The sequence below is a fragment of the Homo sapiens genome, chromosome 10 (assembly GCF_000001405.40).
Source record: "Homo sapiens chromosome 10, GRCh38.p14 Primary Assembly".
In the NCBI taxonomy this organism is placed as follows: domain Eukaryota; kingdom Metazoa; phylum Chordata; class Mammalia; order Primates; family Hominidae; genus Homo; species Homo sapiens.
Window position 1 is genome coordinate 102,038,038 of NC_000010.11, and position 15,018 is coordinate 102,053,055.

The window sequence follows — 15,018 nt, forward strand, 5'->3', positions numbered from 1 at the left end:
TCACTCAAGCAGGAGTTGTATACACCAAGCTTGCGTAAAAAAGAAAGAATCCTTTTTTTTTTTTTTTTTTTTTTTGAGATGGAGTCTCGCTCTGTCGCCCAGGCTGGAGTGCAGTGGCGCGATCTCAGCTCACTGCAAGCTCCACCTCCCTGGTTCATGCCATTCTCCTACCTCAGCCTCCCAAGTAGCTGGGACTACAGGCGCCCACCACCATGCTCAGCTAATTTTTTGTATTTTTAGTAGAGACAGGGTTTCGCCATGTTAGCCAGGAAGGTCTCGATCTCCTGACCTCGTGATCCGCCCACCTCGGCCTCCCAAAGTGCTGAGATTACAGGCATGAGCCACCACGCCCAGCCAAAAGAATCCTAATAGGATCCTAGCACCTACTTATTTTCTCTGTATAGCTGCTTGTACTGGCCTGGGCAATCTGTATTAATCTTCTGCACTCTGTTTCCAAGGCTTGCCAAAGTTAGGTATTTTAGTGGACTGAATTATTTATTCTTAGCCATGGCTTTGGAATCAGGCACCAGGGTTCAAATCACAGCTCCATCACCTTCCAGCAGAGATCTCAAATTACTTCATCTGTTAAATGAGGATACTACCAGTGCCCTCACAGAATTCCTGTCAGAATTAGAACTCCTCTATATTTAGTGATACATTTAGAATGCTCCAGGCACATAATAGAAACCCAATATATGGTCTTTTTTTTTTTTCTTTTTTTTGAGATAGGGTCTCACTCTTGCCCAAGCTAGAATGCAGTGGCATGATCACAGTTCACTGCAGCCTTGACCTCCTGGGCTTAAGCAATCCTCCCACTTCAGCCTCCCAAGTAGCTGGGACTACATGCACACGCCACCACACCTGGATAATTTTTGTATTTTTTTTGTAGAGATGAGGTTTTGCCATGTTGCCCAGGCTGGTCTTGAACTCCTGGGCTCAAGAGATCCACCCACTCAGCCTCCCAAAGTGCTAGGATTACAGGCATGGGCCACTACACCCAGCCAGTAATTCTTTTTGTAAGTATTATTCTACTTTATGCGTACTACTTATGACCAGAATTTCAGAAGGCAAGTACCCCTGCAGCATATCTAATTAATCTTCCTTGATAGTGTATTTTTTTTTTTTGAGATAGGGTCTTACTCTGTTGCCCAGGCTGGAGTGTAGTGGCACAATCTCGGCTCACTGCAACCTCTGCCTCCCGGGTTCAAGTGATTCTTGTGCCTCAGCCTCCCGAATAGCTGAGATTACAGGAGCGCACCACCATGCCCGGCTAAGTTTTGTATTTTTAGTAGAAACGGGGTTTCACCATGTTGGTCAGGCTGGTCTCGAACTCTTGACCTTGTGATCCACCCACCTCACCCTCCCAAAGTGCTGGGATTACAGGCGGGAGCCACCGCGCCCAGCCCCTGATAGGGTATATTTTACAATATAGGCTTGGACCAATCAGTTCTGAAGACCCAAAGAAATCCCCCACCCAATTACTAATAATTCCTCAGTTATCCCCTATAGTTGGAGAATGAGATAGTCCTAAGTAATTATTTCCTTCACCAACAACTTGAGATGGAATATAATAATGTATCCTTTAAAAGTATCTGAATTATAGAATTCTAGGTCCAAAAGAAACTTCATGAGACATCTAGGATAAGATAGCCCTAAGTTAGAGCATAAGGAGAGCAAGTCTTTCTTTAAAATATTCAGAAAAGGAGCTTCCCCAGCCTTCCTCCCTCCTTTCAATTGTTTTACCTGGCTCATGGCAACAACCTATAAGGACAACACAATAACAACCTATATTAATTAATACATGATTATAATCTCTACTCTGACAGCTTTCATTTTTGCCCTCAAACCCTCTTTCTCTCCCCTGTCCCACATCCCCCAAGGAACCTGAAGGTAGCAGGCAGAGGTAAGGGTATTTCTCATCTTGGACTAAGAAACTAAAGACTCAAGCTGTACACAACAAGGCCGCAGGCCTTACCATGAAGATCTCATCATACATCAGCACCACTTTTTCCTTCAGTGGTTTTTTGGAGGCTGAAGATTTCCGGAGCAAACCTCCACGTTTCTCTACCTGTGCCATGGTTAGAGAATCTGTGAACAGAAAGTCACATTTTAGAATAGTGAAAATACTCAGTATGATACTATAATGGCAGATATATGTCATACATTTGTCCAAGCCCATAGAATATACAACACCAAGAGTGAATCCTAATGTAAACTGTGGACTTTGGGTGGTAACAATATATGAATGTAAGTTCATCATTTATAACAAATGCCACTCTAGTGGGGGATGTTGTCAATAGAGGAGGCAATGCATGTGTGAAGGAAGCAGACGTATGGGCTATCTCTGCCCTCTCCTTTCAATTTTGCTGTGAACCTAAAAACAGCTCTAAAAAAATTAAATCTTAGAAAAGAAAAGAAAGCCAGTCAGTGCCAGAATGCTCTCCAAGGTGCTGGAGTCACTGACGTACCACTTAATGAGACAACGTTTAGGAAGAAGAACTGATAAACAACCATGCTACAGAGCTTGTGCATCTGTCCAACACTCCCCTCCCTGACTAGGTAATGTCAAGGTTTAAATCATTACTTGGCCAACAGCACAACACATTTTACATTCTTAAAATGTGCCAGTGGACAAGGCTTAAAGCAGATCCAAAACCAAACACAAAAGTGTAACTCGCTCCATCTGTAATAGGTCTGGCCATATATTTGAGGTTGATGGAAGGAAGGCAGCAAAGCACACACTGCCCACAGACTGATGGTGAAGTTAAATTTCAAATATTGATCGAGCTTAGGACCATTAAGGCAGGAAGTGTGCTGCAGACTGATGTGCTTCATTGATTTCCCCAAAGTAAGTAGGTCCTCGTCACTGCAAAGTACTTGGCCTTTACTGCCTCATAAATCACACTGCACTTGACTGTCTTTAGAAATTCCTCTGGAAAGAGACCCAAGGCAGAAAATAGCAGCTAAGAGGCCAAAAAAATCCGATTTAAAATAACTGAATAGAGTAATATACTACTTTCAAATTTAATTGTGTGTACATATATATATATATAATATATATATATATATATATATGTAGGTAAAACACTATTGCAGATCAAACTCCAAGGTATTTTTCAATTCTATATAAAAGTAGTTTCATGAATCATGGCCAAATGTTCCCATCTTGCTTCACGGAATTCTCGATTTTTTTTTTCAATTGAGAACCCGAAATCCCACAGGTCTTTACTGCGAATTTACACATATTCCCTTCACCTCCCAGGTTCTTTTCATTATTAACAAATTTCCTCTCTTTCCTTTAAATCCTACGCTCTAGATATGAAACTTAATCTCATCCAATGACAAGTATGTGAGATAGGGAGAGGCCAGATTTTACTTCCAGACAAAACCGACACAGCAGAACTAATTTTGATCAGTGACTTTTGGAAAATGTGCACTATCTTTCTGATCAAAATCAAAATTTTGTTTAAGGAAGAGATGTATCCAATAGTACAAAAGATTGTATCTTAGACATTGTCCTTCTCTAACACATATAGCAAAGAGAGGAGATTCATCTTTGAGCATACACTAAAGCACAGGAAATTTCTCCAACTAGGTATTTTTATTTTATTTTTAGACTTTTTTTTTTTTTGATATGGAGTCTCACCCTGTCACCCAGGCTGGAGTACAATGGCGTGATCTCAGCTTACTGAAACCTGTCTCCCAGGTTCAAGTGATTCTCCTGCCTCAGCCTCCCAAGTAGCTGGGATTACAGGTGTGTACCACCATGCCTGGCTAATTTTTTGTATCTTTAGTAGAGACGGGGTTTCACTATGTTGGCCAGGCTGCTCTCAAACTCCTGACCTCATGATCCGCCTGCCTCGGCCTCCCAAAGTGCTGGGATTACAGGCATGAGCCACTGTCCCCAGCCTGACCTAAAATTTTACTAAGACATATCTCTACTGAGGCTTAATTTAGCCCTCAAATTCTGTTATGGTCCAGAGAAAACTGATGAAAAAAATAATAACAATAACGAAAAGAGAAGACTCTTTGGGACAATTTACATTGTATTGATCATGGCTTTTCCTTAAAGCATGAAATACAGCCTCCATTCAACATGTCTTTTAAACATGTTGTCAAGAGGAAGATGTCTTTATCCAGGAAAAATAAATTGGAAATCAAGAGAATCCTATTAGAATAAATCAAAAGCAATGCAATTCTAAACTTAGTGGATATGGATCTTGCCTGTGCTCAGCTTCAACCAGTTGATTAGCAGGAAGAGTGGGAACCACAAGTTCTTAGACGTGATAAGTACATGTTTACAAATATCCCCTTCTGAGGATTTATAATTGGGTTACAGCTAATCAATGTCCACCCCAAATCTAATAAATTCACTTTCTCTATTTCAGAATCAATACTTTCTAATAAGCAAAGGGAATAGGAGAGGAGGGAAAAACAATTCCAATCCAAACTACCAAATTTCCTAAGAAATTAAATTCTTTTCATCATTTTACTCCTTCCATGTGGAGCAGCAGGAAAATCAGCCAAGGCCTCAACTCACTACTCTCTGTCATCACAGGCAACTGAAATTTACCACCCAAGCTGCCTGAAATGTGACTGGAAAATGACAACATAAAGTCTTCTCCTCCTGCCAGCACTCCTACCCAGGGAGTTTCTAAGGTGGCAGACTGGGAGAACTACAGAACTCTAACAAAACTTTTTCCTTGGGTCTCAGAAATTAAGCCTATGCTCCTAATTTTGAAAGTAAAATATCGGCCGGGTGCAGTGGCTCACGCCTGTAATCGCAGCACTTTGGGAGGCCAAGGTGGGCGGATCACCTGAGGTTGGGAGTTCGAGATCAGCCTGACCAACATGCAGAAACCCCGTCTCTACTAAAAATACAAAATTAGCCAGGCATGATGGCTCATGCCTGTAATCCCAGCCACTCAGGAGGCTGAGGCAGGAGAATCGCTTGAACCTGGGAGGTAGAGGTTGCGGTGAGACGAGATTGCGCCACTGCACTCCAGCCTGGGCAACAAGAGTGAAACTCCATCTCTAAGAAAAAGTAAAATATCTGATTGGTAGAGCAGAAAGTTGCAGCAGATCAGTAATGTGAGTGTAATCTGTACATTCTCAAGCACTTTTTTCCTATTTCACAACCATCCCCCTCCTTCCCAGAGGAGAGAACCACCATCAGCTGAGAAATTGCAAGGCATAATGGAACAAGCAACCAGCAGAACTGAGATTAGAACACAGGTCTCCCAACCAACTCGGTGACATGGACAAGTTACTGTGCTTCTCAGTTTCCTCACAAGTAAAACAAGAGGATTGAACCAGACTATTATCTAATGATTCTCTCAGCATCACTGAAATACCACAAATATATAAAAAGCACCTAAAGCCCTAGTTTAGGCACTATAGGATTAAAGAGAGGAAACTCCAGACTTGATTCTCTGGGAGCTCATAATCTACTGGCACAGACAGACACATAACAACCCATAGTGCAAAGCAAATCATGAGAAATAAATGGAGTAGAAGTACAAAGAAAATGCTATGGGATAATAAAGGAGAGAAAGAAACATTCTGTGACTATGCTATGACCCCTGTTGATCCAAGCTTTTAAATCCTTCTGGCAAAGAAGCAAATACAGCAAAGGCACAGTAATCCCACAGAAATGTCAGTTTAGGCTTTAAGGCAGTGTCTCAGACATAAGACATAGACAAATTATAAAAAAGAATCAGGCAACTTTTCAATACTAATTTCACCTACTATCAAACTTACAAATGGTTTCAAATCCCCTCAACTGAATGGTAAATCAATGAAGGCTTTTATTCCTAAACCTGAAAGACTGTTAGTCACGTGAGCTGCTGTCACTTCTCTCTGGAAGATACAAGTTATACAACTTTTTTTTGTTTTTTGAGACAGAGTCTCACTCTGTCACCCAGGCTGGAGTGCAGTGGTGCAATCTCGGCTCACTGCAACCTCCGCCTCCTGGGTTTAAGTAATTCTTGTGCCTCAGCCTTGTGAGTAGCTGGGACTACAGATGTGTGCCACCACACCCAGCTAATTTTTTTCTTTTTTTTTTTTTTTTTTTGGAGACGGAGTCTCGCTCTGTCGCCCAGGCTGGAGTGCAGCAGCGCCATCTCAGCTCACTGCAAGCTCCGCCTCCTGGGTTCACGCCATTCTCCTGCCTCAGCCTCCCCAGTAGCTGAGACACCTGGCTAATTTTGTTGTATTTTTAGTAGAGACGGAGTTTCACCATGTTAGCCAGGATGGTCTCGATCTCCTGACCTCGTGATCCACCCGCCTTGGCCTCCCAAAGTGCTGGGATTACAGGCATGAGCCACCATGCCCGGCCTTTTTTTTTTTTTTTGAGACAGAGTCTGGCTCTGTTGTCCAGGCTGGATGCAGTGACATGATCTCAGCTTACTGCAACCTCCACCTCCTGGGCTCAAGCCATCCTCTCGCTTCAGCCTCCCAAGTAGCTAGAACTATAGGTGCGCGCCACCACACCCAGCTAATTTTTTGTATTTTTTATAGAAACAGGATTTTGCCATGTTGCCCTGGCTGGTCTCAAACTCAAGCAATCCACCTGCCTCAGCCTCCCAAAGTGCTAGAATTGCAGGCGTGAGCCACTGCACCCAGCCTTAGGTTCACATTTGTAATGGACTGTCACCAAGTATCACCCTCTCTTCACATTGAGGCAAACAAAAACAATGTTATAGCTAGATGCTAAGGTAAACATCCTAAAATACTTCAACCAGTATAGAAGGAAAAGAAGAGAAGAAAAGAAAAAAGGAAGGGGAAAGAAGGAAAATGAATAAAAGTAAATGTGCACACCAGGCGTGGTGGCTCACACCTGTAATCCCAGCACTTTAGGAAGCCGAGGCGGGCAGATCACATGAGCTCAGGAGTTCGAGAACAGCCTGGGCAACATGGCAAAACCCCGTCTCTACTAAAAATATGAAAATTAGACAGGCGTGATGGCGGGAGCCTGTAATCCCAGATACTCGGGACGCTGAAACAGGAGGATGTCTTGAGCCCAGGAGGCAAAGGTTGCAGTGAGCTAACATCACTGCATCCAGCCTGAGCAACAGAGCCAGCCCTTGTCTCAAAAAAAAAAAAAAAAAAAAGAGCGAAACAAAAGTAAATAGTTTAGGGGGAAAAATATGTACAGATCCGACATTTATTCACTCATTCATTCGACAAATTTTTTTTGAGTACCTTTTGGGCACAAGCACTGGGAACACAGCAGTAAACATGACAGAAAAGATCCCTGCTCTCACAGAATTTTCATTCCAGTAGAAGGGAAACAGACAACAAATAAGATAAACTGAGACAGTGATAAGGGCCCTGAAGACAAATTGCAAAGGGGACTACTCTCAACTGAGAGATTAAAGTAGGCCTCTTTGAGGAAATGGCACTTGGGCTAAGATCTGGAATAACAGGAAGAAACCAGGCAAGTAAAAATCTTGAGAAAATTGTTCGAGATGGAATGTCAAGTGCAAAGACCTCAAGATTTGAATGCACTTGGCGTGTTCAGGAAACAGAAATGCCACCGTGCCTAAACAGAGCATAAACATTCCTTTTCTGAAATGTTTTTGTAAAGTTTATTAAAGTGGGTCTTTTGTGTTTGTGAATTTTTTTAATATATAAGAAGAATCCAAATATCCATCAGCAGTAAATGGGACAATTATGATACAGTCATACAATAGAATACCACATAGAAATTTACAAGAGCCTATTACTGATACATGAAGCAATGTGAGTAAGTTACATAGAAAATATTGAATGAGGGCCAGGCGCGGTGGCTCACACCTGTAATCCCAGCACTTTGGGAGGCCGAGGTAGGTGGATCACTTGAGGTTGGGAGTTCGAGACCAGCCTAACCAACATGGAGAAACCCCATCTCTACTAAAAATACAAAAATTAGACGGGCATGGTGGCGCATTCCTGTAATCCCAGCTACTCAGGAGGCTGAGGCAGGAGAATCGCTTGAAGTCAGGTGGAGGAGGTTACAGTGAGACGAGATCGCACCATTGCACTCCAGCCTGGGCAACAACAGTTAAACTCCATTTCAAAAAAAATAAAAATAAAATAACAACCAGAGTCTATTTAGCTCTTATTATGTACCAGGCACTGTTCTAAGCACTTTATATATATTAATTCATTTTATCCTCATATCAACCCTATGATCCAGAAAGTTTACAATGAGAAAACTAAAGCATGAACTGGAAAAGAAAGAGAGAAAAAGAGAGAAAGAGAGGGAGAGAGAGAAAGAAAGAGAGAAAGAGAGAAAAGAGAGAGAAAGAGAAAAGAGAAAAAGAAAAAAAAAAGAAAAAGAAAAGAAAAGATGGGCCAGACTGGTGGCTCATGCCTGTAATCCCAGCACTTTGGAGGCCGAGGCGGGCAGATCACCTGAGGTCAGGAGTTTGAGACCAGCCTGACCAACATGGAGAAACCCCATCTCTACTAAAAATACAAAATTAGCCGGGCATGGTAGCACATGCCTGTAATCTCAGCTACTCGAGAGGCTGAGACAGAAGAATCGCTTGAACCGAGGAGGCGGAGGTTGCAGTGAGCCGAGATTGCACCACTGCACTCCAGCCTGGGCAACGAATGAAACTCCATTTCAAAAAAAGAAAAATTGAAAAGAAAATAAACTTGTACAGATAAGTGAGTGTAGGGACTCAAACCCAGGCAGCCTGATATTAGAGTTCCTGTTCTTCTCCACTATGCTATACTGTATCTCAAAAGGCAGAGGAATGAGCAGGAGCAGAGTCATCTATACATAAACAAAGCTGAGGGCCTACAGAGAAACTGTGAAGAGGTTCTAGGTGAGTAAGGGGGAGTATGTACTCATGGGCTTTAATGAACAAACTGTGAAATGTCTAGATATCTTGAGTAGCCACCACTCTAGTTTGTCAGTGGATGAAGGTGCCATGGTAGAAAGTAAAAGATAATTGTCTGATGTAGATACATCTGTCTGTAAATGTAGGTAATAGTAAAGTGAAACAGACAGAAATAGACAAATTCACAGGAATGGCAGAAAACTTGGAGGGAAAAACAGGAGAAGAATCTGAGTGTCTAGTCAAGTTGATAGATGTATCCAACATGGTAATTTTTTTAAGGATAAAACACCCTAATGTCCACTACAGGATTTAATTGATTTTTTTTTAAACTCTCCCACTATCTTTGAGGATTTTTAATTTTTTTTCACTATTTTAATTGAGTATAGTCAGTGTTCTGAGGATAATTCTCCCTCAACTTTATAATGAATAGAAAGATACTATAAAACAGGACAGAAAAAAGAAATGGAAAACAAGTCAACTAAGAGTCTGTACAATCCTCAGCTTAGGAGGGAGTATGTTTTAATACTGATGAGCTGTGATCCCCTATTTCAGAATCTCCTGGGGTGCCTCCTAAATATGTAAATTCTTAAGCCTTCCTACCATTCTATTGAACCAAACTTTTTTTTTTTTTTTTGAGAGACAACCTCTCACTCTGTCACCCAGGCTGGGGTGCAGTGGCATGATCTCGGCTCACGGCAACCTCCGCATCCCAGGCTCAAGTGATCCTTCCACCTCAGCCTCCCAAGTAGCTGGGACTACAGGCACACACCACCACACCTGGCTAATTTTTGCATTTTTTTGTAGAAACGAGATTTCGCCATGTTGCCCAGGCTGGTCTCAAAACTCCTGAGCTCAAGTGATCTGCCCACTTGGCCTCCCAAAGTGCTGGGATTACAGGCATAAGCCACAGTGCCTAGCTTGGGTCTACATTTTTAACAATCACTCCAGATCAGTGATTCTCAACTGGTGCAATTTTGCCTCCCAGGGGACATTTGTCAATGTCTGGAGACATTTTTGATTGTCACAACTGGGAGAGGAGGTACTACTGGCACCTACTAGGTAGAGGCCAGGGATGCTGTTAAACATCATACAATACTCGAGGCAGCCTCCCACAACAAAGAATTATCCAGCCCAACATGTCAATATCAAAGAGGTTAAAAAGCCCTGCCCCAAGTAATTCTGATGACCATTAAAGTTTGAGAAGTACTCATCCCAGCCTTAAACCAGACTTGGAAAAGGAAGGAGTATCTAGACAGATGATACTGAGAGAATAAATGAAACCTCTGCAGTCTCTAAAAAGGGCGTTGAAGCAACACTCACCTTATCACATATCATTCTCCCCACATTAAATCACACTTCCTTTGGGACTGTAGCCCATTTCCCCATATGTGAAAGAAGATCACTACAAGACACACTGACTATAGTATCCACAATACTTAGTGATGGAGATGAAAATCTTATGTAGCTATCTGTCCAAGAGTTGTGGCTAAGTCAAAGAAAATATTACCATTATCTGACCATGAGCCATTCACCCAATATACAAAGGAGGCAACACGTTTTTGTTTTGTTTCATTTTGAGACAGTGTCTCACTGTGTCGCCCAGGCTGGAGTGCAATGGCACGATTTCAGTTCACTGCAACCTCCGCTTCCTGGGTTCCAGCAATTCTCCTGCCTCAGCCTCCCAAGTAGCTGGGACTACAGGCGCATGCCACCACACCCAGCTAATTTTAGTATTTTTTTGTAGAGTCAGGGCTTCACCAAGTTGGCCAGGCTGGTCTCGAACTCATCTTAAGTTATCCGCCTGCCTCAGCCTCCCAAAGTGCTGAGATTACAGGCATGAGCCACCGCACCCAGCTGAGACAACATGTTTATATCAAGCCAGCAATAGTCCCCTACCCTGACTTTCCAGTAAGTCTCCTGTCCTGATCTCCTAAAAATTCCCTAGTTTCTCTAGATACAGGGTTTTTTAAAAAACCTTTACGCAAAAGTTACCTGCTCCCTAAGCCTCTCTGCAGGACCTAACATACTACCTGGAGGTAAACATTAGCACTATAAGAACTTAAGGAGAATGCAGTTTTTCTATCTCCAAGCCCCAGCCCTTCAAGCTATCTCCTAATATGCCTCTCACTTTCTTTTTTTTTTTCCTTTGTGAAGAATGTGGGCATCATTCTTTCTTCTTTTCTAAAAGCCCCAGGTATTTAGCTCACTTGCTAGATCACATCCTACTGTTCCACATGGTTCCTTAGCACAGCTTCTTTCAGTAGCATGGGACAGGTTCCCCCACTTCCATCCAAAAGACTGGCTCTAAGACAAGCAAATAACCCCTTTCTATTTTAATGAATTTCTACTGCTAGTTCACTCCAAGGATTCTATAGATCCAAAATGAAAATAGGGCTGGCACGGTGGCTCACGCCTGTAATCCCAGTACTTTGGGAGGCTGAGGCGGGCGGATCACTTGAGGTCAGGAGTTCCAGACCAGCCTGGCCAACATGCAGAAACCCCGTCTCTACTAAAAATACAAAAATTAGCCACGCATCGTGGCAAGTGCCTGTAATCCCAGCTACTCAGGAGGCTGAGGCAGGAGAATTGCTTGAACCCAGGAGGCGGAGGTTGCAGTGAGCCAAGATCGCGCCACTGCACTCCAGCCTGGGGGATAGAGCGAGACTCTGTTTCCAAAAAAAAAGAAAGAAAGAAAATAGAGTAGGGCCTGCAACTTTTTTTTTTTTTTTTTGAGATAGGGTCTCAAGGCTGAAGTGCAGTGGCACAATCATGGCTCACTGCAGCCTCAGGGATCCTCTGACCTCAGCCTCCTGGGTAGCTGGGACTACAGGCACATGCCACCAGGCCTGGCTAACTTTTCATATTTTTTGTAGAGATTGAGTTTCACCATGTTGCCCAGGTTGGTCTCAAACTCCTGGGCTCAAGCAATCCTCCCACCTAGGCCCCCCAAAGTGCTAGAATTACAGGCATGAGCCACTGCACCCGGCCCCAACCTATTTTTACAATGAGGATATTACTTTGCCCAAAGTAACACAACTAGTAAGTGATAAAGCCATTAAATCTTTCTCTCTGGTAGCGCTTCTCCCTATCAGAATGTCCTGTTAGTGCAAAACATCAGGAGCTAACTAGACCATTAAAAACCAGATTCACTGTAATCCCAGCTACTCGGGAGTCTGAGGCACGAGAATCGCTTGAACCCGGGAGGCGGTGGTTGCAACGAGCTGAGATCGCGCCACTGTACTCCAGCCTGGGCGATAGAGCCAGACTCAGTCTCAAAAAATAAAAAAAATAGAGCCAGGCGCTGTGGCTCATGCCTGTAATCCCAACACTTTGGGAGGCCGAGGAGGGCAGATCACAAGGTCAGGAGATTGAGACCATCCTGGCTAACACGGTGAAACCCCGTCTCTACTAAAAATACAAAAAAACAAAAATTAGCCAGGCGTGGTGGTGGGCACCTGTAGTCCCAGCTACTCGGGAGGCTGAGGCAAGAGAATGGCTGAACCCGAGAGGTGGAGCTTGCAGTAAGCCGAGATCGCGCCACTGCACTCCAGCCCCAGCCTGGGCAACAGAGCAAGACTCTGTCTCAAATAAATAAATAAATACATACATACATAAATAAATAAAAAGATTCAGTTAAAGTTACACTTCTATAGAAACTCCAAACTGACATCCATAATATCAACACTCCCATTTTATCCAAGAAAAGTCACCAAATGTGGTGGCTCAAGTCGGTAATCCCAACACTCTTGGAGGCCGAGGCAGGTGGATCACTTGAGGTCGGGAGTTCGAAACCAGCCTGGCCAACATGGTAAAACCCCATCTCTACTAAATATACAAAAATTAGTCAGCGTGGTGGCACATGCCTGTAGTCCCAGCCACTTGGGATGCTGAGGCACGAGAATTGCTTGAACCTGGGAGGTAGAGGTTGCGCTGAGCTGAGATCACGCCACTGCACTCCAGCCTGGGTGACAGAACAAGACTCCATCTCAGAAAAAAAAAAAAAAAAAGGCCAGGCATGGTGGCTCACGCCTGTAATCTCAGCACTTTGGGAGGCCGAGGCAGATCACTTAAGAGTAAGAATTCAAGGCTGTCCTGGCCAACATGGTGAAACCCTGCCTCTACTAAAAATATAAAAATTAGCTGGGCATGGTGGCAAGCACCTGTAATCCCAGCTATTCAAGAGGCTGAGGCAGGAGAATCACTTGAACCCGGGAGAGGGAGGTTGCAGTGAGCAAAGATTGTGCCACTTGTACTCCACCCTGCTGGGCGACAGAGCAAGACTCTGTCTCAAAAAAAAAAAAAAAAAGAAAGAAAGAAAAGTCAAGTGGGCGCAGTGGCTCATGCCTGTAATATCAGCACTTTGGGAGGCCAAGGCCGGCGGATCATCTGAGGTCAAGAGTTCGAGACCAGCCTGGCCAACACTGTGAAACACCATCTCTACTAAAAATACAAAAAGTAGCTGGGTGTGGTGGAGGGGGTCTGTAATCCCAGCTACTCAGGAGGCTGAGGCAGGAGAATCACTTGAACCCAAGAGGCGGAAGTTGCAGTGAGCCAAGACTGGGCCACTGCACTACAGCCTGGGCAACAGAGGGAGACTCCATTTCGGAAAAAAAAAAAAAAGAAAAAGAAAAAGAAAGAAGTCAGTCAACTCAGGACATCACCTGACAAGCATCATCTCTATTTTCTAGAAGCTAGGACAGAACCAGACTGATTAAGGAAGCACACAAACCACTACAAGGCAGGGTCCATAGCTTGTGTGCTCTAGACAATGCTCCCCTCAGAATGGGTGTTCAGCCTATACCTGAAAATGGAAGTAACTCAGAGACTTTCCCAAGACTAAGAAGCAAATGGCAAAACCAGGACTATTCCCAGGTATCAGCCAGTCTGTACCTACTACAGGTCAACTAGCTTCACAAAAGACAATTTAATCTGGTCCCATCAGCATCTACTCAGTTTGCCTAATGTTACAAATGATCAATGAAGATGAGCTCTCGTTCATTTAAATAAACATGACCACCTTTGGTTCCCTTTCAAATTATCCTACACAAGAAGGAAGGCATTCCTCCTTCCGAAGGGGGAACCAGCTCCAAATTGACAGTATTTCAGGAAATTCTGATTAGAAACCACATTTTCTGACACATCCCAGAATGAAAATTCATGGTAAGATCTTCTCAATGAGCAGGAGATTCCTGTAAATTAATACTTTCTCCTGCTCCAGCCCTGAACTTATTCAAACGGCACACTGTCACTCATATCTTCTCATTTCTTCCCCTGCTCAATTATACAAGCCTCATGAACACCACCTAAATATAAAATGAAAATTATAAGATAAAGTCCCATAATCATCTTCTTCCCCCACTCCCCCGCCCCACCGAAAGACAGTCTCCCTCTGTTGCCCAAGCTGGAATGCAGTGGCACAATCACAGCTCACTGCAGCCTCAACCTCCTGGGCTTACACGACCCTCCCACCTCAGCCTCCTTAGTAGCTGGCACTACAGGCTCACACTGCCACACCCGGCTCATTTTTGTATTTTTTGTAGAGACAGGGTTTTGCTATCTTGCCCAGGCTAATCTTGAACTCTTGAGCTCAAGCAATCCACCAGCCTCGGCCTCCCAAAGTGCTGGGATTACAGGCATGAGACACCTTGCCTGACCCCATAATCTTCATAAAGGAAGCCCAAAAGGTACCTGCAATCTTGCAAAGTAAACTGATTTCCTGCTACTTGAATAACACTTATTAAGACCTTATAAATTACATAAGCATAGTGTAAGACAGAAAGGGACCAAAAAATTACTAAATTACAGTCCCTGCCTTGAGAAGCTCACTATTAAGTGGAGGAAGTGCATAATCTGCTACTTCCTTATAGACAAATAAAATAAACATTTTTTTTTCCCCAAGACTTTTTTCATATATGCCCTCACTCAAAGCTGGTGCCAATACATTAAGCTCACCAGGTCTCTCACTTCCAGCTGCCTACTAAGGTCTCCATCGGTACATCCTACAAGCAACCTGAGCTCGGCATACCAAACCATATCCCCTATGCCTCTTTCCATACCCTAACCTTTGGAAACCTGCTCTACTTTTTCTAATCCATATCCTGTCAATGAAATCCCCATACATCCACTCTCTCAAATTAGAAATCCTAGCCCACTCTCTTCCTAAGAAGTTGAATCAATCTCAGAAGTA

General features: G+C 43.4%; 1 protein-coding gene across 19 annotated transcripts in view; it reads right to left on the minus strand.

Annotated features, from left to right (window-relative positions):
• Positions 1-15,018, minus strand: part of ARMH3 (armadillo like helical domain containing 3) — a 210,575-nt gene that overhangs the window by 192,439 nt on the left and 3,118 nt on the right. For 17 of the 19 annotated variants that reach the window (XR_001747199.2, XR_007061987.1, XR_007061988.1 and 14 more), the window contains exon 2: positions 1,976-2,088. The exons of the other annotated variants lie outside the window; for them this stretch is intronic. Coding sequence is in view for 14 of the 17 variants with exons in the window: in XM_011540154.3 (XP_011538456.1) it covers positions 1,976-2,077 (102 nt within the window). In the remaining 3 variants the exon portion in view is untranslated. The remainder of the gene's footprint in view (positions 1-1,975; positions 2,089-15,018) is intronic. 19 annotated transcript variants of the gene reach the window in all.